The sequence below is a fragment of the Homo sapiens genome, chromosome 16, assembly GCF_000001405.40.
Source record: "Homo sapiens chromosome 16, GRCh38.p14 Primary Assembly".
Lineage (NCBI taxonomy): Eukaryota > Metazoa > Chordata > Mammalia > Primates > Hominidae > Homo > Homo sapiens.
Genome location: NC_000016.10, coordinates 24,898,560 through 24,919,388, shown reverse-complemented (window position 1 = coordinate 24,919,388; position 20,829 = coordinate 24,898,560). Strand labels below are relative to the sequence as shown.

Genomic DNA, 20,829 nt, shown 5'->3' with positions numbered 1-20,829 from the left:
CTTCATAATTCTTGGAGGTAAATTGTGGAGTGTGTGTGTGTGTGTGTGCATGAGTGTGTGTGTGTTGCCACTCAACCAGATAGAATTGTGGCTGGGACATCTTGGGGGAGAGGGTCTAATTGTAGCTGTAGGAGTTTGAAGAAACAGAGAGCAAGGTCGCAACAGTGAAAAAGGCCGCCAGGTGCCCCAAAGACCTCCTAGCCTGGCCATCCTCAGTGCAGGTTCTGGTCAAGGCTGCACCCTTGGTCCTCCCAGTGCTGGCATCCCTTTCTTTCCATCTAGAGATACTCAGACTCCCGGGGGCAGCTCACAGGAGTTCAGCCCCACCGGGTTGGTGCATTCGTCAGCAGTTGTGAATTGCCATAGAGAGCCCTTTTTCCAATGGCTGGTGCTTTCATGCCCTATCCAAGGCGTGAAAATTATCCCGTCTCTCCCAGGATTGAAATACTAGGGAAGAGCCGATGGGGAATTGGAGCAAAGCGAGACTGAGGCTCTGGACAGCTGGTCTGACGATAGCACGACCCCTTGGCCCAGATAAGGCCGTTTTCTCTTGGGAACAGAGTGGGACACGCTGCCAGAGTTGGCTGCCCTGAGCCTTCTATTGATCGAGTTTGCTAGGTGTGTCAGTGTCTAAGTCACTGCCTAGAAGACACTGGGCCTCTTTCCACTACGAACTGACTTAAGCCTGATTTAAAAAGGGGAACCACAGTTTCCTTTTGTTGTTTTTTTGAAACAGATCTCACTCTGTGGCCCAGGCTGGAGTGCAGTGGCACAATCATAACTCACTGCAGCCTCCAAACTCCTAGGCTCAAATGATCCTCCCAACTCAGCCTCCCAAGTAGCTGAGACTACAGGTGCATGGCAATACACCCAACTAATTTTTAAATATTTTTTTTTCTAGAGACAGGGATCTTGCTGTGTTGCCCAGGCTGGTCTTACAATTCTGGCCTCACGCAATCCTCCCACTTCAGCCTCCGAAAGTGCTGGGATTACAGGCGTGAGCCACCATGCCCAGCCCACATTTTCATCTTTACTCAGTTTCCTATGCCCTCAAAGTACTCCCTATACTTATTAATTACCTTCAAAATATGCTCCTGTAAGCCCATTTGCTCCCATATCTTGAATTTTCATTGGCTTAAGGCTCACTCTTCCCCTGTGCCACCTGTGTATTGTTAATTTTCTATACCCTCCTTTAGCCACAGAACAAACCCTGCAGAGAAAGAATCCTCTGTGTAGGCTGATGCTCCATGTTGAGCACCTTCTCCAGGCGCCTGGCTGTCCACGGTCAGGTGTCTCCATGGAGCCTCGGAGATGCTCCCATCGTGATGCCTGAGCTTGTCCTCCAGAGGAAGCAGGGACTTGGGCGCTTGTCAAGGAGATGCTGTTGGCACCTGGGGATGAGAAACATCCATGCTGACATCCTGCCCAGCATATAGCATGTGTTCATCATTGCTGATTCTGAAATACAGCAAACCATACCTCATTATTTTAAGAGCCTCATTCAGTTTTTACTCTCCTATTGTTTGCAGCAATCTTCCTACCCTGACAGCTGCAAACTTCAAAACAATGAAAGTCATTTGACTCTGTGTATGTGTCAAAGGTAAAGACCACACTTTGGGAGGCCGAGGCGGGCAGATCACTTGATGTCAGGAGTTCAAGACCAGCCTGGTCAACATGGTGAGACCCCATGTCTACTAAAGATACAAAAAATTAACTTGGCATCGTGGTGGGTGCCAGTAATCCCAGCTACTTAGGAGGCTGAGACAGGATAATCACTTGAACCTGGGTGACAGAGACTACAGTGAGCCCAGATCAAGCCAGTGCACTCCAGCCTGGGCAACAAAGTGAGACTCTGTCTCAAAAAAAACAAAAACAAAAAAAACCCAGAACTGTCTAGGGTGGGATACATGGCTGAGCATCCCACCGGCAGGGCCAGGAGAGGCACCTGGATCCTCTTTCCCGTTCTGTGGCCCGGGATTCCTTCTGCTGGAGGCGTTGTACTGTGTTGGCACTGTACGTTAGGCACACCATTTCCAGCCTGCCCACCGTCAGAGAGGCAGAGAATCTGAACCCATAGTGGCCATTTCTGGCTGTCCAGAAGGGCACTGGCCATCTGCCCTTCAGATTGTTTCCTTCCCTTCTCTACACAGTAGTTTCTTATAGAATGTTCTAGGCCCTTGCGCTCAGACTTCGTGTCCCTGCTCCCCCACCTGCACCAAACCTCCTTGGTCAGGCACCGGTTCCTCTCACTACCCCCTGTGGTTTAGCACTCACCTAGCATTCTGGAAGGAGCTTGTCCTGCACCCAGCACTGTGGAGACTGCAGAGGCTCAGAGTAGAGCCCTGGCTGCCTTGGTTTTGCCGAGTTCCACCCTGTGGTCATTCCAAGAGTTCAGATGCGCTGGGTGTGGTGGCTCATGCCCATAATCCCAGCACTTTGGGAGGTCGAGGTGGGTGGATCACGGGGTCAGGAGTTTGAGACCAGCCTGGCCAACATGGCAAAACCCATCTCTTCTTAAAAAAAAATTATATATATGTGTGTGTGTGTGTGTGTGTGTGTGTGTGTGTGTGCGCGTGTATGTGTATATATATATATATATATATACACATACACACAAAAAAAATTAGCCAGGCGCAGTGGCTCATGCCTGTAATCCCAGCACTTTGGGAGGTCGAGGTGGGCGGATCACGGGGTCAGGAGTTTGAAGCCAGCCTGCCCAACATGGCAAAACCCCATCTCTTCTAAAAAAAAAAATTATATGTGTGTGTGTGTGTGTGTGTGTGTGTGTGTGTACACACACACACAAAATTAGCCAGGCGCAGCGGTTCGTGCCTGTAATCCCAGGACTTTGGGAGACTGACGTGGGTGGATCACTTGAGGTCAGGAGTTTGAGACCAGCCTGGCCAACATGGTGAAACCCTGTCTCTACTAAAAAAAAAAAAAAAAAAAAAAAAAAAAAAAAAAAGGCTTGTGTGGTGACACGCGCCTGTAGTTCCAGCTACTCAGGAGTCTGAGGCAAGAGAATTGCTTGAACCTGGAAGGCAGAGGTTGCAATGAGCCAAGATCATCTACTGAACTCCAGCCTGGGTGACACGAGACTCTGTCTCAAAAAAAAAAAAAAAATTCAGATGCCATTGGAGTGACCCCATCCCTGGACCATTGTGATGGCCCTGGTTCTCTGGGAGCTCCGTGGAGTGACTCCCGCTCCTCTGTTGGGGCTGCAGTTCTCAGTGTCTCCCAAGCCCAGTGAGTCCCACAAGTGCTCCTATTTGAAGGTCTTAAGACAAACCCTCCTGGTTTCTCCCTGAGGTCTCCTCCCACGATTTCCTCACCATATTCCAGTGCCTCTGGCCTCTGGGACCCACGGTCTCAGGGTTTTGCATCAGACTGGGCAGCAAGCACCTCACTCATAGGGATGCTTCTCAGTCAAGGGCTTGCACTTTCCTCCTATCTCATCGGTGGAGCTAGAGAGGAGGAGATGTGCTGGTGCGGGGAAGCCACAGGCTCTGGTGCAGCCAAAAGACAAGAAGTGACCAAGACCACTTGAGCTGCCAGCTAAGGGAGGGGAGCAAGTCAAGGACCCCCTTAGTTTCCCTCCTGCCCACAGCAGGCTGCACACATGGCCATCCCCACCCTGTCCCGCATGGGTTCGCACAGGCATGGGCCCTGAGTCTCTTCCCCAGCAGGCAGGACCCCTGTCTCCCGGCACGGAGCTGTGGGTGCCCTGCCACCACCGTGGATTCTGTGGAGTAGAGAAAACCTGCCTGCAGAGGGAGAAGTCAGCAGATGTGCGGAGAGGCAGGGACAAAAGATAAGAGGGAGAGAGTGCAGGGCTTGGTTTTTAAAACCCTCCCAGCTCCCGGTTTGTGTGCCTGAAGCCATTCTGCATTTCTTGCCTTTGTATGCTCACAATAAAGTGCTTGTTTTTGGCACAAACGTTCCTCTTTGGGTTTGTTTCTCTTACTGGCAACCAAATTACTTGTACTCGATACCCTCCAAAGGAGGTACATGGCTGTGTAGACCCCACACAGCTCTGCAGGCAACTGTCCTCCTCCCACACCCTCTCCAGCCAACCCCTCCTTTACATCCACACATGCGTTCACACACCATGCCCCTCATGTCAGTTATCCAGTGCAGCATGACAGATGATCACATACTTAGCAGCTTACAACAACACATGTTCATTTTCTCACAGCTCCTGTGGGTCAGGAGTCCAGGCACAGCTTCTCTGGGTCCTCTGTCCAGGATCTTCATCTGCTGCAGTCAAGGCAGCAGCCAGGGCTGGGATCTCATCTGGAGGCTGGGCTGGGGAAGGATCCACTTCCCAGGAAGTAGGGATGATTGAGGGTCACCTTAGGGTCTATCCTTCACACACGAAACATCATCACAAATGACATGTGGGGAGGGGGATATTTGATACAAGGAAGAACCCCAACCTAAAAAAATCCTCAGGGTTCTGTTTTCACTCTTTCTACTTGTATTTGAATTTGGGGTTTTTGGTTGTCATTCTATTTGTTTAAGATGGAATCTTGCTCTGTCACCCAGGCTGGAGTGCAGTGACATGATCTCGGCTTACTGCTACCCCTGCCTCCCAGGTTCAAGCCATTCTCCTGCCTCAGCCTCCCAAGTAGCTGGGACTACAGGCACCCACCACCATGCCAGGCTAATTTTTTTATTTTTAGTAGAGATGAGGTTTTGATCTGTTGGCCAGGCTGGTCTTGAACTCCTGACCTCAGGTGATCCACTCACCTCAGCCCACTGAAGTGCTGGGATTACAGATGTGAGCCACTGCACCTGGCCTGAATTCAGTTTCTGTGCACATCTGTAAATTGTATTTGCACTGCACTGGTTTTTTAAATTGATAAAAGTTATGGTATACGACATGTTTTTGTATATGTATACATTGCAGAATGGTTAAATCTAGCTAATTAATATATCCATCACCTCCATTATCATTTATTTTTTGTGGCGAGAACATTTAAAATCTCTCAGCTGGCTGGGCACAGCAGCTCACACCTGTAATCTCAGCACTTTGAGAGGTTGAGGTGGGTGAATTGCTTGAAGCCGGCAGTTTGAGACCAGCCAGGGCAACATAGTAAGACCCCATCTACATAAAAAAATTAAAATTAGCCAGGTATGGTGGCCAAATGTCTGTAGTTCCAGCTACTCAAGAGGTTGAGGCAGGAGTTCGAGGGTCCAGTAAGTCATGATCATGCCAATGCACTCCAGCCTGGGTGACAAAGTGCAAGACCCTGTCTGTAAAAAAAAAAAAAAAAAAAAAAAAAAAAAAAAAGGCCAGATATGGGGGCTCACACCTGTAATCCCAGCACTTTGGGAGGCCAAGGCAGGTGGATCACATGAGCCCAGGAGTTGGAGACCAGCCTGGGCAATATGGCAAAATGCCTTCTCCACAAAATACAACAACAACCAACAAAAATTGCCAGGCATGGTGGTGCGTACTTGTAGTCCCAGCTACCCAGGAGGCTGAGGTGGGAGGATCACCTGAGCCTGGGAGTTTGAGAATGCATTGAGCCATGATCGCACCCTGTGTTCCAGCCTGGGCAACAGAGTGAGAGCCTGTCTCAAAAAAAAAAAAAAAAAAAAAAAAAAAAAGGAAGGCAAAGGATTGCAGAGTTCATCCTGAGTGGGAAGGTCTCTGAAGGATTCCAAGCAGAGGATTGGCTTGATCCGAGTTGCTCACCCTGCCAGTGGCTGGAGAATGGGAAGACTGGATGTGAGAAGGCAGTCAGGAGTCCGGGCAGAGATGGGGGTGGCCTGAGCTATCATAGTGACAGCTCAGTGCGTCCCTGCTGAAACACACTGTTGACCCCAGCCAGAGGCAACAGGGGTCTTGGTGTGAGGGGCAGGCTTGGACGGGGAGCTCAGGACTGTAGTGGAAGCCTCCCATGCCGCCCACTCCCCTTCTTTGGGCCTTGGAGGCAGAAGCTCAACCTCCCCGGTGAAGACTTCTCCTTGAGCCCACTTGCTCCAGAACCATTCCACGCTCCTGCCTGGAGCCATGTTAGCAGCCAGTTCCCCGCCCATACCCCTTCCCAGGAGGGCTGGGGGTGCCCTTTGTCCAACCTACTACTGCTATTTGGATTCCTGTAGAGAGCTGGGCCTATGAGCAGAGCTGAGGCTGGACCAATACATTATTTGCCTGTGCACCAGGCCAGTCCTAGCTGTTGGCATCAAGTAGGAACCAGAAAGACATCATCACTGGAGGATTAAGTGGGTGGGCAGCTCCTCAGCCCCAGGGGGTCCTGTTTACTTTCCTCTGGTCTGAAAATTGGGGTCCCTCGAGAGACTCCTCTGCTTTCCAGCTCTGTCAGGCCAGGAAGGGGTTCTAGTCCACCCCACCTTATCCCAGGCCTGGATGGTTCATGGCCCTGAGCTACTCCAGAGATGGTCTCAGGGCTCACTCCGTTGGCCCTGTCCTGCTCTTAGCTCTGCACGTGGCAAACGCAGCCCTGATGGGTCATTCCGTCAGACTCCAGTGGGCCCAAAGCTGGGAAGCTGAGGAGGCTGGCTCTACCCAGAACAGGAGGCCGCTGCTCTGCAGGTCAAAGCCTTACTGGCTTTTGGTGGGGAGGTTCATTGAGATGCACATCCACCTGGCTGCTTCTTTTTAGGGAAGCATCATCATGGGGAATTAAGCAAAGAAACACAGTCTAAGGCTGGGTGCGTGGCTCACACCTGTAATCCCAGCACTTTGGGAGGCCAAGGCAGGAGGATTGCTTGAGCCCAGGAGGTTAAAACCAGCTCAGGCAACATAGGAGAGACCCGCCCCCCATGTCTCTGCGAAGAAATTTTAAAAATTAGCCAGGCATGGTGGTGCATGTCTGTAGTCCCAGCTACTCAGGAGGCTGAGGTGGGAGGATCACATGAGCCCAGGAAGTCAAGACTGCAGTGAGATCTCAGGGTGCCACTACATTCCAGCCTGGGTGACAGAGTGAGAGAGACCCTGTCTCAAAAACAAGAGTCTAAGCCAGAACTTGAGAAGTGCACACAATTCCCTGATTTTCTTACAGCACAAGATTTCAGAGTACCAACTGGGGTCTATTTCCAAGAAATATCTAGGAGAAAGTATCACAGTGAGAAAACTCGGGGACCTTCACCCAAAGCCAGCCACAGTGGAAGGCAAGAGATAGAATGCAGGTCCCATTCTTTGCACTGTGAAGGTGAGCTGGGCAAGTTCAGATGCTAAATATCCAACCCCGGAGATGTGGCTGCTGTCAGCCTGGGAGGTCTTGTAAGTCCCTTTGCTTCTTTATCCCTTTGAATTTGGGTATTGATGTTGCACAATGGATAAGAAGAATGAATAACTAGTCTTTTGCAAAAGGAAGCTTTTACATGTCTCTCCTCTTTCCATCTTCTAACCTTCATTATTTTCAAGAAGAAAAGAGGCTGGGCATCGTGGCTCATGCCTGTAATCCTAGTACTTTGGGAGGCTGAGGTGGGGGGATCACTTGAGGCCAGGAGTTCAGGACCAGCCTGGGCAACATAGACCACATCTCTTTGAAAAAAGGAAAAATTAGCCAGGCATGGTAGTGTGTGCCTGTAGTCCTAGAAACTTGTGAGGCTGAGGAGGGAGGATCACTTGAGCCCAGGAGTTTGACGTTGCAGTGAGCTATGACCATGCCACTGCACTCCATCCTGGGTGGCAGAGCGAGACACTGTCTCAAAAAAAAAAAAAAGAAAAAAAGAAAAAAGAAAAGAGCTAAGTGTCATGTTGAAAATGGTCTATAAACACTTGGAAGCCTTGTGGTAAACAAAAGCTTTATTATTTTTTCTTTCATTAAAAAAATGGAGCACTGAAGAGAAACAGAGTTTGGACCCCTGGGTTCACCCCACACTAAGCAAAATAGCCCCAGATAAAGATGGCGCAGCTCACGCAGAAAATGAGGTTGACGTCCAGGAGGGTCTTCACCAAGGGGTTTTCTTCCAGGGAAACTATGATGGCTTCTGCTCTGGCCGGGAGCTCTTCCTTGCCCTTCTCCTGTATTCCACAGAGCCACAGGATGGCCTTCACCACTTTGGACTGCTTTGGGGTCATGTCACCTAGAAAGAACCCAGCAAAGGAAGACCGTAGAGGTGGTCTGTATCTCCCAGAGAGGTGAGACAGGGACACTCACCAGATGTGTTCAAGTGCTGGGATTACAGGCGTGAACCACCATCCACTATGCCCGACTGAAATCTCCCTTTTTTTTTTTTTTTTTTTTGAGAGAGTCTCACTCTGTCGTCCAGGCTGGAGTGCAGTGGCGTGATCTCGGCTCACTGCAACCTCCACCTCCCAGGTTCAAGCGATTCTCCTGCCTCAGCCTCCCAAGTAGCTGGGACTATAGGCATGCGCTACCATGCCCGGCTAATTTTTATATTTTTAGTAGAGACAGGATTTCACCATGTTGGCCAGGCTGGTCTTGAACTCCTGATTTCAAGTGATGCACCCACCTCGGCCTCCCAAAGTGCTGGGATTACAGGCCTGAGCCATGCTGACCGGCCAAAATCTCTCAATTTTTAAATGTTAACTCACATTTTGTTGAAACTGTAGGTGGGCTAAGCCAAAATATGTCTGCAAGCCGCCAGTTTAGAAGCACTAACTGAGAGAAGGCAAGTTGTGTTCCTGCCTACCCATGTGCAGAGAATAAGGATGAAATGAACCAACCGTGTCTCCGTAGGCACTCAACAAGTGTTTGTTTGCTGTTAGTGCCCGTAGGAAGCTTGTTGAAAGTTACTAAAAACTCCTTTCCCATGGCCGGAGCGTGGGGACAGATCAGACACTGGAGCCAGAGGATGCTAAAACTCCAAGTCTGCCCACTTTCCTGGCTTGTGATTTGATAGGAAAAAAAAAAAAATCAATCCCTTTAACACGTACTCCTTCTTGCTGTAACTGAGGAGAGAAGCTACTCACAGCTGTGGGTTTTAGACGTGTTTTCTTGAACCATCTCGAACTGGACGCTGCTGCTGCTGCTGGCCTCTGGCATCCCGTTCTGAGAGAGGGTAAGAGACAAGGGAGCTGCTGGTGGTGCTTGTTCCTTCTGGACCACGGGGTCGTGACGAGTAAACCAGGTCAGGTGGCTGACCTAAGGAGCAGGGATGAATGATGAGATTTGTGGTGGAGGTGGGGCCGGGGTTGTCCATCCTTTTCTCACACTCCCCACCCAACCCCACACTCAGCCTTTGTGTCTGAATCTGCTCCCAGCCCCACCCTCCCACCCCATCCTCCAACAAGCATCATGTTCCTGCACTCTTCAACATCAGCGCACAATTCCCCTGCTCATTCCCACGTCTTTCTCCGATAAACCCCATCCTCCTGTTGCTGGGATGTGATTATCCCTCATTCTAATCCCCAGAGCTTAACCCTCACCCTAGAGTATTGCAGGACCCCAGAACTGGTCATTTCAGCTCATCCGTTTCTCTGGCCACAGGGATTGAATTGGTTCACGGATGAGCATGTGTCCTGAGCTGACTCCATCAATGGAAATCTAGAAATTCTCTAGAAATTCTGGGACAGAAATATTAATGCTTATTTTTACTTTTTTTTTTTTTTTTTTTTTTTAAAGACAGGCTCTTGTTCTGTCACCCAGGTGGGAGTGCAGTGGCATGGTCATAGCTCACTGCAGCCTTAAACTCCTGGGCTGAAGCAATCCTCCTGCCTCAGCCTCCCTAGCAGCTGGGATTACAGGCATGAGCCATCACGCCCTGCTAATTTTTTCTTTTCCTTTTTTTTTTTTTTTTTTTTTTTGTGAGACAGGGTCTTGCTCTGTCACCAAGGCTGGAAGTGCAGTGGCATGGTCATAGCTCACTGCACCATCAAAACTCCTGGGCTCTGGCAATCCTCCCACCTCAGCCTCTCTAGTAACTGAGATTACAGGCATGAGCCATCACGCCCTGCTAATTTTTTCATTTTTTTAAGAGACGGGATCTCACTATATTGCCCAGGCTGGTCTCAAACTCCTGGCCTCAAGTGATCCTCCCATCTCAGCTTCCCGAAGTGCTGGGATTACAGGCATGAGCCACCGCACCCCAGCCTTATGTTTACTTAATGACAGTAAAAGAGGATGTATCTCTAGAAGATACTGGGCTCCATATGGGACCTAAGAATTGAAGCAGAAGTGCAGATGGATTCTGATGACCTTTTCAGAGTCCCAAATCATCCTGCCCCTGAACCTCAACCCTGGACTTTTCAGCTTTTTGGACAATCAGTCTCCTTCGCTTAAGTCAGTTTGAGTCAGTTTTCTGTCACTTCCAACAAAAAGTCTCAACGGATCTAGCCATCAGCCCAAATGTACCATCTCCTTGGAGGGTGGCTCTGTGAACCAGCTCACGGTGGAGACAGTGATGAGGGTGACCGTGGACAGGATCATGGAGAAGTAGAGGTAGTGAATGCTCTTCACCAGGACCGGGCGCTCATCTGGCTGGTCGCATCGAGGCTGCACGTAAATAAAGTCCAGGACCAGCCTAACCAAGCCCAGGAGCAGGCCCGAGATCAGGCCCCAGAAGGCACCCTGCAAAATCAGAGCAAGATCATCTTAGAGACGCCAAGGGCTCTGGCCTCCAGGAACCTCAAGAAGCCATCTCCAGGACTTGTCTTTCTTGTGGTGGTCACTGCAAGCACGGGTCAGCAATTTGAAAAGGTTCTGCAATACTTAACCATTTATCTTTTTATAATGAATTGATTACTAATAGTTTACTAACTCCCTCTTAATTTAGCTTCCCTGTTCAATAACAAAAAATGCATCAAGATACTTTTCATGAGAACCTCTCATTGCTTTTTTTTTTTTTTTTTTTTTGAGACAGTCTCACTCTGTCGCCCAGGCTGGAGTGCAGTGGCGTGGTCTCAGCTCACTGCAACCTCTGCCCCCCAGGTTCCAGTGATTCTCCTGCCTCAGCATCTGAGTAGCTGGGATTACAGGCGCCCACCACCACACCCGGCTAATTTTTGTATTTTGAGTAATGATGGGCTTTCACCATGTTGGCCAGGCTGGTCTCAAACTCCTGACCTCAAGTGATCCACCCACCTCGGCCTCCCAAAGTGCTGGGATTACAGGTGTGAGCCATCGCAGCAGCCCTCTCATTGCTTTTTTGCAAAGGTCAGATAAACACCCTCCCTGTATCTTCCACCAATGGAACTCACCCTCCCTCTCAACACCCAATTCCAGCCTGTGTCTCCCTCCAACACCCTCCCCTCCCATCCTATCCCAGTCCTCAAGGGGCAGCACTTGGTTCTGGCATAGTGGGAGCCATCCAGAGCTACCTTTTCATTGGTCCTCTTCCAGAAACATCCCATGATGAAGACCACCGCCACAGGCGGCTGCAGGTAGGAGCTGATGGACTGGATATAGATGAAGAGCTGGCCGCCCTGGCTGGCCTGGACCACAGGGATCCAGAGGATGGAGACCAGGACCAGCAGCAGCACAAACACCCTGGTGCCGGCGGCGAGAGGCACAAATTAGCATCATCTGAACATTTACTCCTCTTTCCCTCTCTCTGTCTCTTTTAATAGACAGGGTCTTGTTCTGTTGCCAAGGCCGGGGTGCAGTGGTGAGAGCATAGCTCACTGCAGCCTCCAACTCCTGGGCTCAAGTGATCCTCCTGCCTCAGCCTCCCGAATAGGTGGGATTACAGACACATGCCAACACTCCCAGCTTATTTTATTTTATTATTTTAATTTTTTTTTTTGAGACAGAGTCTCACTCTGTCACCCAGGCGGGAGTGCAGTGCGTCATCTTGGCTCACTGCAACCTCTGCCTCCTGGGTTCAAACGATTCTCCTGCCTCAGCCACCTGAGTAGCTGGGATTACAGGCACACGCCACCACAGCTAATTTTTGTATTTTTAGTAGAGATGAGGTTTCACCATGTTGGCCAGCCTGGTCTTGAACACCTGACCTCAAGTGATCCACCGCCTCGGCCTCCCAAAGTACTGTGATTACAGGTGTGAGCCACCTCGCCCAGCTGGGTTAAAATTATTTGCTTATTCTCCTCCTTCCCTGGCTCCATGAAGGCAAGAACTGAGCCCTTTCATGGTTATGTGCCCTGTGCCTGGTACACAGTAGGTGCTCGTTCAGCATCTCCTGAATGAATGAATGTCTTGCACATGGAGTCCTAATGCTCTTCAGCCTGGATAGGTTGCTGGCTGAACCTGGACTTTGCCTCTGGGTGGGCTCAGCTCTCTCTTCCCCCTGCCCCAGCCCCACCCAGTGGGGACTTACCTGCCCACAATCATGAGCTCCTTCTCAGATGCCCGAGGCCGGAGGTGATTCCAGAGGTCCATGGTGAAGATGGTGCTGGCACTGTTAAAGATGGAGGTGAGGGAGGACATGAGAGCCGCCACCATCACAGCCATCATCAGCCCACGGAGCCCTGGGGGCGGAAGGGAGGTCATGGGCCTCGGTCCTTTTCTGCCAAAGCAGCCGATCCCAGTGGGCTCAACTGGAGGAGGCAGAACCTCAGGGAGGACGGCGGGGCAGAGCTTCCTGCAGGACGTAGCCTTTCTTGGGGAGCCCAGAGTCTTCCTCCCCCACCAGCCCTCCTTTCTTGACCCTGCCTTGGATCAGAGCCCATCCGGTGATCTCCTTTCTGGGTGCTCCAGGGGACTTGATTCAGGAGTGAAGGGACATTACCTGTGGGCAGGAGTTCCAGCACGAGTTTGGGATACGCGATGTCCGAACAGCCTGAGGGGTTGCTGCAGATCTTCTGGCAGATCTCTGGATCTGCACAGGCCACTTGATCTACGAAGGAAACACAGGCCCAGAGGTGAGCAGTCAGGCCCCCAGAGCCCCAGGCCCAGGCAACATGGGGCCGGACACAGGCTTATCATATGGAAGTTTATAGCTCAATGAAATAAAAAAGAGTCTAGACTTTATAAGCTGTGACCTTGTTACTTACGCTTTCTGAGACGAGTTGCCCTATTTGTAAAACTAGGATAATAACACGACTTTATAGGAAGTGCTGGAAAAAATTCAGCTATTGTTATCGTAACCCAGATGAAGCTGGGACACCTAGTGGCCAATCTTACAATAATGTCTTTTTTTTTTTTTTTTTTGAGACGGAGCCTCTTGCTCTGTCGCCCAGGCTGGAGGGCAGTGGCACGATCTCAGCTCACTGCAACCTCTGCTTCCCAGGTTCAAGTGATTCTCCTGCCTCAGCCTCCCGAGAAGCTGGGATTACAGGCACCCACCACCATGCCCGGCTAATTTTTGTATTTTTAGTAGAGATGGGGTTTTGCCATGTTGGCCAGGCTGGTCTCGAACTCCTGACCTCAAGTGATCCGTCCATGATCATTAACTCACTGTTCAGTAACATCTGCTCACCTGTCCTGGTTAATGAATCATTTCCTATACGTAGATTCTCTTGTCAGAATGCTTCACACCCTCTGATGCCTGAAATAAGATGCCTCTAGCCCAGTTAAATCCAAACATAGCACAAAACCTTCTTCTTCCACAAACCCAACATTAACTGAAGGTTTACTATGACTCAGGAGCTGCAGTAAGCTTTGTACATACACCTCATTTAATTTTCACAACTCTATGGGGGAAGATACTGTTATTATCCCTATTTCAAAGACAGATAAACTGAGGCCCAGAGGTTAGTTTCTCCAGATTATATTGCTAGTAAGTATTATGGCCAGGAGGCAAACCCTTAGTTTATTTCAAAGCTCAGGTAGAGAAGATTGGCTCTGTAAATACTGCATTTCTAAACTCTGTGTGTGTGTGTGTGTGTGTGTGTGTGTGTGTGTGTGTGTGTGCGCGCGCGCGCGTGTTTTTGAGATGGGGTCTTGCTCTGTCGCCCAGGCTGGAGTTCAGTGGTGCCATCTTGGCTCACTGCAACCCTAGCCTCACAGGCTCCAGCCTCCCAAGTAGCTGGAATTACAGGCATGTACCATCACACCCAGCTAATTTCTTTTTCTTTAATTAATTTTTTTATTTTTATTTTTATTTTTTCTTGAGATGGAGTCTCACTCTGTCGCCCAGACTGGAGTGCGTGGCACAATCTCGGCTCACTGCAACTTCCTCTTCCAGGTTCAAGCGATTCTCCTGCCTAAGCCTCCTAGCCTGTAGCTGGTATTATAGGCGTGCCACCACACCCAGGTTTTTTTTTTTTTTTTTTTTTTTTTTTGTATTTTTAGTAGAGACGGGGTTCCATCATGTTGCCCAGGCTGGTCTTGACCTCCTGGCCTCAAGTGTTCCTCCCGCCTTGGCTTCCCAAAGTGCTGGGATTGTGTTTTGAGGGTTGTTTTGCTTCTCTCTTAATTTCCATATAGTTTATTTAAAAATATGTGCCATTTCTCATGGATGAAGCTGGAAACCATCATTCCCAGCAAACTAACACAGGAACAGAAAACCAAACACCACATGTTCTCACTCATAAGTGGGAGTTGAACAATAAGAACACATGGACACAAGGAGGGGAACATCACACACTGGGGCCTGTCGGGGGGTGGAGGGCAAGGGGAGGGAGAGCATTAGGACAAATACCTAATGCACGTGGAGCTTAAAACCTAGATGACAGGTTGATTGGTGCAGCAAACCACCATGGCACATGTATACCTATGTAACAAAGCTGCACGTTCTGCACATGTATCCCAGAACTTAAAGTTTAATGAAAAAATAAAAATATGTGCCATTTCTCAGATGGACTTAGCAGAAGAGGGTTTTTTTCCAGGCTCACAAGAACTCAGGATCAGAAAATACTTTTAGGCAGCTGTGGACTCCGTTGAAGATTTAGGAGGGAGCCAGTGGAGCCGTGGTGGAGAGAGAAGTGCAAATAGGGAGGCAGAGTGCTTGGCCCTGAAACTGGCCCTTTAGACCTGGGGTTCTCAACCTTCTAGTGGACTTGTTAAAAAAATAGGTGGCTGGCACAGACAGGAAAAAATGCTTAACATCACTAATCATCAAGGAAATGCAAATCAAAACCTCATGAGATATCATCTCACCCTAGTTAGAATGGGGATCATCAAAAAGACAAAACATAATAAATGCTGGTGAAGATGTGAAGAAGGGGAAACTCTTATACATTGTTGGTGGAGATGTAAATTACTACAGCTAGTATGGAAAACTATGGAGGTTCCTCAAAAAACTGAAAATAGAACTACCATATGATCCAGCAATTTTGCTACTGGGCATATATCCTGATATGGCTTGGCTCTGTGTCCCCACCCAAATCTCATCTCCAATTGTAATCTCCACATGTCAAGGGAGGGAACTGTAATCCCCCCATGTCGAGGGAGGGAGGTGATCGGATCATGGGGGTGGTTCCCCCTTGTGTACTCATGATAGTGAGTGAGTTCTCATGAGATCTGATGGTTTTATAAACGTCTGGCATTTTCTGAGCTTGGACTTCTCTCTCCTGCCACCATGTGAAGAAGGTCCTTGCTTCCCCTTCGCCTTCCACCATGACTGTAAGTTTCCTGAGGCCTCTCCAACCATGTGGAACTGTGAATCAATTAAACCTCTTTCCTTTATAAATTACCCAGTCTCAGGTAATATCTTCATAGCAGTGTGAAAATGGATTAATACATATCCAAAGCAATTGGAATCAATATAGCAAATGGATACCTGCACCCCATTTATTGCAACACTCTTCACAATAGCCAACATATGGAATCAACCTCAGTGTCTGTCAACAGATGAATGGGTAAAGAAAATGTGGTACATATACATACAGAGTGGACTACTATTTAGCCATAAAAAAGAATGAAATTCTTTTTCATATTCATTCATGGCAACGTGGATGAACTTGGAGAATATTATGTTAAGTGAAATAAGCCAGGCACAGAAAGATAAATACTGCATACTCTCACTCATATGTGGAAGCTTGAAAAGTTGAGCTCATGGAAGTAGACAGTAGGATAGTGGTTTCTAGAGGCTGGGAAGGGTAGTGGGGAGGAGGGTAGCCAAAGGTTGGTAAATGGATAGAAAAGTACAGCTAGACAGGAGGAATAATGTGTAGTGTTCTATAGCACTATAGGGTGACTATAATTCACAACAATTTATTGTACATTTTCAAATAGTCGAGAGTGGATTTTGATTGCCCCCAACACAAAGAAATGATAAATATTTGAGGTGATAGATAAGCTAATTACACTGATGTGGTCATTACACATTGTATAATGTATCAAAATATCACACTGCACCTTATAAGTATGTACAATTTGTATTAAAATAATTAGTTAAAAATAATAAGAGAAAAAAAAAAAACAGATGTCCCTCCAGGGATTCTGATTCAGAAGGTTTTGAATCGGGACTGAAAGTTTGCACTTCTAACAAGTTCCCAGGAGCCACTGCTGGGCTGGGGACCACACTCTGAAAAGCACTGGTCTGGGCCTCCAGAGAAGGGAGAGAGACTTCAAATACACAATGCCCACTTCACTCTCTCTAATTCACCTTACTCTCTAAAATTTATTTTGCACCTCTTGCTTGTATCATATGATAGAGTATTTCAATATATAGTTTATGTTATTTTTCCATGAGTATGAGACTCATCTGCTACATTACAAAGTCCTAGGTTCATGGAACATGGTGTTATGTCTCATTTAATAATGACTGTTGGCTGGACACGGTGGCCCACGCCTGTAATTCCGACACTTTGGGAGGCCGAGATGGGCAGATCACCTGAGGTCAAGAGTTTGAGACCAGCCTGACCAACACGGAGAAACCCCATCTCTACTAAAAATATGAAATTAACCGGGGTTGGTGGCGCATGCCTGTAATCCCAGGAGGCTGAGGCAGGAGAATCGCTTCAACCCAGGAGGCAGAGGTTGCAGTGAGTGGAGATCGCACCATTGCACTCCAGCCTGGGCAACATGAGCAAAACACCGTCTCAAAAAAAAAAAAAAAAAAGACTTGATTGGCTGATTGGTTGTTAAGACAGATGGTCAAGGTCTTGTTATTGATCTTCCATATATCAACCCAGGTCTTCAGGCATAATTTGCATAAACAAGAGTCAAGTTTTAGAATCAGCTACATCTGGATTCAAATCCTGGCTCATCTGGCACTAGCTCAGTAACTCCCAGAAAGTCACTTAGCTTAGGAGTGATCCTGGATTCCTTTTTTTTTTCCCCCTTAACCTTTACATTCAATCCATTATTAATCTGATTGGCTCTATGATGTACTTTCAAACCATTGCATGGGTCAACTGTTGCCTCCTCAGAAAGGACTTCCCGGGAAACCTTGTCAGAAGTAGCTCTGATCTGACATTCTTTTTGATATCTCCTTGTGCATCCTCCTCCTGGCATTTAGCACAGTCAAAAATTATTTATGTTTTTACTCTTTTCTGAGACACAGTCTCACTTTGTCACCCAGTCTGGAATGCAGTGGCTCGAACACAGCTCACTGCAGCCTCGACCTCCCAGGCTCAAGTGATTCTCCCACTTCAGCCTCCTGAGTAGCTGGGACTACTATATATGTGTGTGTGTGTGTGTGTGTGTGCGTGTGTGTGTGTGTGTGTGTGTGTGTATTTTTTTTTCCAGAGATGGGATCTTGCCATGTTGCCCAGGCTGGTCTCAAACTCCTGGGCTCAAGCGATCTTCCTGCCTTGGCCTCCCAAAGAGCTGGGATTACAGGCGTGAGCCACTGCACCTGGCCTTATTTATTTACTTATTTCTGTCTTTGTCCTCCACCACTAGGATGTAAGTCCCTCTACAGCAAGGATCCTGTAGTCTTGTTCACTTATGGGCCCCCAGAGTGTTCTAGAATAACGCTTGGAAGATAATTGGCTCTCAAAATATTTGTTGAATTCATGGAAGAATAAATAAATGAGTGAATGAATGATTTTTTTTAAACAAGGTCTCACTTTGTCACCCAGGCTGGAGTGCACTGATCATGGCTCACTGCAGCCTCAACCTCCCAGGCTCAAGCGATCCTCCCACCTCAGCCTCCCAAGTAGCTGGGACTATAAGCACATGCCACCATGCCTGGCTAATTTTTGTATTTTTTGTAGATACGAGGTTTCATCACGTTGCCCAGGCTGGTCTCAAACTGCTGAGCTCGAGCGATCTGCCTGCCTTGGCCTCCCAAATTTCTGGGATTATAGGTGTGAGCCATTGCTCCTGGCCAAATGAATAATTTCTCTAAGCTTCAATTTCCTCATCTGTAAGATGAAAAGTATAATAGTACCTACCATATAAGGTTGTTTTGAGGATGAAATGAGGTAATACATGTATAAAATAATAATAGTAAACACTTGGATAGAGCTTACTGTGTGCCAGGAGCTGCTTTAAGCCTTGTAAAATATTACCCCCATTTTACAAGTGAGGAAACGAAGCAAAGAGACATTAAATGGCTTATGCAAGTTCAAACACCTCATAAGCGGCAGAGCAAATTCAGGCCTGGGCCTTCCAGATCAGAATCCATATTCATATCCACACTCCACTCTGAAGCTCTTTTCATAGGGACTGACCCTTAGCAAGTGCACAATGAATGTGGTTGTTTGAAGCCATATTCTTTCCTTTTTTTTTTTTTTTTTTTTTAGAGATAGGGTCTTGCTATGTTGTCCAGGCTAGAATGCAGTGGTGTAATAATAGCTCACTGCAGCCTCAACCTCCTGGGCTCAAGCAATTCTCCTGCCTCAGTTTCCCAAGTAGCTGGAACCACAGGTGAGCACCACCACACCTGGCTAATTTTTAAAAATTGTTTTTGGTAGAGAGCGGGTCTGGTATCGTTACCCACGATGGTCTTGAACTCTTGGCCTCAAGAGATCCTCCTGCCTCAGCCTGCCAAAGTGCTGGGATTACAGGCGTGAGCCACTGCACCTGGCCTGAAGCTATTTCTGTGTTCCTATGTCAAGACTTGCTGAACAGCTGTATATTTTCCAAATCACTGCAAAACCCAGATCCCAGTTCTTAACTCCCTCTGGATCTTCCCAAGGCTTTTGCCCTTTCCTGGAAGCAGGACTAGGGACTATTTGTGGGTTCCTCATCCCACCAGGGCTGGAGGAACACAAGGGTTCAAGGTCTAGCACCATGGACAGTGCCCCCATTTGCCTTCCCCATCTCTTTTCTCCTGCTTCTTAAGGGTCCTAAATTATTTTGACTAAGCTTCTGAGCCAACTACAAACCACTTCATCCTACCCTTTCTTAGCTTCTGTGTAACATTATGTAGGATAAGGCACAGGGGAGGAAACTTTCTGCTTTCCATCCCCTTTAGTTAATAACATCCTTGGTGAGTACACTGGAAAGCTCACTGTTTCAGGGGAAAAGAGAGGAGCTTTCTTCTGTATAGATCACCAGTTTCTGACACCACAGTGTCTTCTGGTGACATTGCCCCTCCTCGGTATCATTTATCCCCATGGTATAAACCTATTCCCTTACCACATTAAGAAAAAAACTAAAGCAAATGCTCTAGAGGCCTCGATATCCCATGAGATTTGTTAAGAAAAGTACACCCAGCTGGGCACAATGGCTCACACCGTAATCCCAGCACTTTGGGAGGCTGAAGTGGGTGGACTGCTTGAGCCCAGGAGTTCAAGACTAGCCTGGGCAACACAGTGAGACCCCCATAGCTACAAAAATTATAAAAATCAGCTGGGCATGGTGGTGGGCACCCGTAGTCCAGCTACTAAGGAGACTGAGGTGGGAGAATTGCTTGAGCCTGAGAGCTCCAGGCTGCAGTGAGCTATAATCATGCCACTGCACTCCAGCCTGGGTGACAGAGTGAGACCCACCTAAAAAAAAGAAAAAGTACCGCAGGCCAGCTGTGGTGGCTCACGCCTGTAATCCCAACACTTTGGGAGGCCAAGGTGGGAGGATCACAAGGTCAAGAGATCGAGACCATCCTGGCCAACATGGTGAAACCCCATCTCTGCTAAAAATACAAAAATTAGCCGGGCATGGTGGTGCATGCCTGTAGTCCCAGCTACTTGGGAGGCTGAGGCATGAGAATCACTTGAACCCAAGAGGCAGAGGTTGCAGTGAGCTGAGATTGTGCCACTGCACTCCAGCCTGGCAACAGAGTGAGACTCTGTCAAAAAAAAAAAAATCCAAAAAGGATTTCACTGGGCCAAAGTTACCCAACCCAACCACTGAGCTCAAACACTAAAGTAAGGGACAAACTTTCACATGAGACTTCAGAGAACTGCTCTGGAACCACAAGACCTTAGCCTAGTTGGTTTCAAAAAAATATAGTTGAGGCAAGATCCCAGTTGAGTCTCCACTCAATTTGGCCTGGGATACCTATAGGACTTGCCCATTGAACCAATGTTGAGAAACAGCATAGAGTCACTAGATGCCTAGACAGAGATGCCTCAGTCTCATCACTAGGAAAGGACTCTATGGCCAGGCATGGTGGCTCATGCCTGTAATCCCAGAATTTAGGGAGGTCAAGGCAGGAGGATCGCTTGAGGCCTGGAGTTTGAGATCAGCCTGGGTAACATAGTGAGACCCTGTCTTTACAAAAACTTTTGAAAAATAGCCAGGTGTGGTAGTGCATGCCTGTAGTCTCAGCTACTTGGGAGGCTGAGGCGAAAGGATCCCTTCAGCCCAGAAGTCTGAGGCTGCAGTGAGCTATGATCATGTCACTGTACTCCAGCCTAGGTGACAAAGTGAGACCCTGTCTTTAAAAAAATGCAAAAAAGGCCAGGCATGGTGGCTTACGCCTGTAATCCCAGCACTTTGGGAGGCCAAGGTGGGTGGATCACGAGGTCAGGAGATCGAGACCATCCTGGCTAACATGGTGAAACCCTGTCTCTACTAAAAGTGCAAAAAATTAGCTGGGCATGGTGACGGGCACCTGTAGTCCCAGCTACTCAGGAGGCTGAGGCAGGAGAATGGCGTGAACCCAGGAGGCAGAGCTTGCAGTGAGCCAAGATCGTGCCACTGCACTCCAGCCTGG

The 20,829-nt window shown here is 48.3% G+C and overlaps 1 protein-coding gene across 37 annotated transcripts in view, besides 1 other annotated feature; it reads right to left on the bottom strand.

Moving 5' to 3' along the window:
* Positions 1 to 7,762: 7,762 nt before the first annotated feature.
* Positions 7,763 to 20,829, bottom strand: part of SLC5A11 (solute carrier family 5 member 11) — a 65,664-nt gene continuing 52,597 nt past the window's right edge. For 17 of the 37 annotated variants that reach the window (NR_172075.1, NR_172077.1, NM_001352249.2 and 14 more), the window contains 6 exons: positions 12,625 to 12,732; positions 12,214 to 12,364; positions 11,258 to 11,426; positions 10,293 to 10,508; positions 8,912 to 9,083; positions 7,766 to 8,061 (listed from right to left, as the gene is read on the bottom strand). Coding sequence is in view for 27 of the 37 variants with exons in the window: in NM_001352249.2 (NP_001339178.1) it covers positions 7,856 to 8,061; positions 8,912 to 9,083; positions 10,293 to 10,508; positions 11,258 to 11,426; positions 12,214 to 12,364; positions 12,625 to 12,732 (1,022 nt within the window). In the remaining 10 variants the exon portion in view is untranslated. Of the gene's footprint in view, positions 8,062 to 8,911; positions 9,084 to 10,292; positions 10,509 to 11,257; positions 11,427 to 12,213; positions 12,365 to 12,624; positions 12,733 to 20,829 lie in introns of all 37 variants that reach the window. The other 20 variants (NR_147938.2, NR_147935.2, NR_147939.2 and 17 more) reach the window with 2 other exon arrangements.
* Positions 12,440 to 12,940: an enhancer, noted in NCBI's record as "H3K4me1 hESC enhancer chr16:24917770-24918270 (GRCh37/hg19 assembly coordinates)". NCBI's record gives its function as "activates a minimal SCP1, AML or CMV promoter by ChIP-STARR-seq in naive H9 embryonic stem cells {active_cell/tissue: H9 hESC(naive)}" and the evidence as "EXISTENCE:reporter gene assay evidence [ECO:0000049][PMID:30033119]".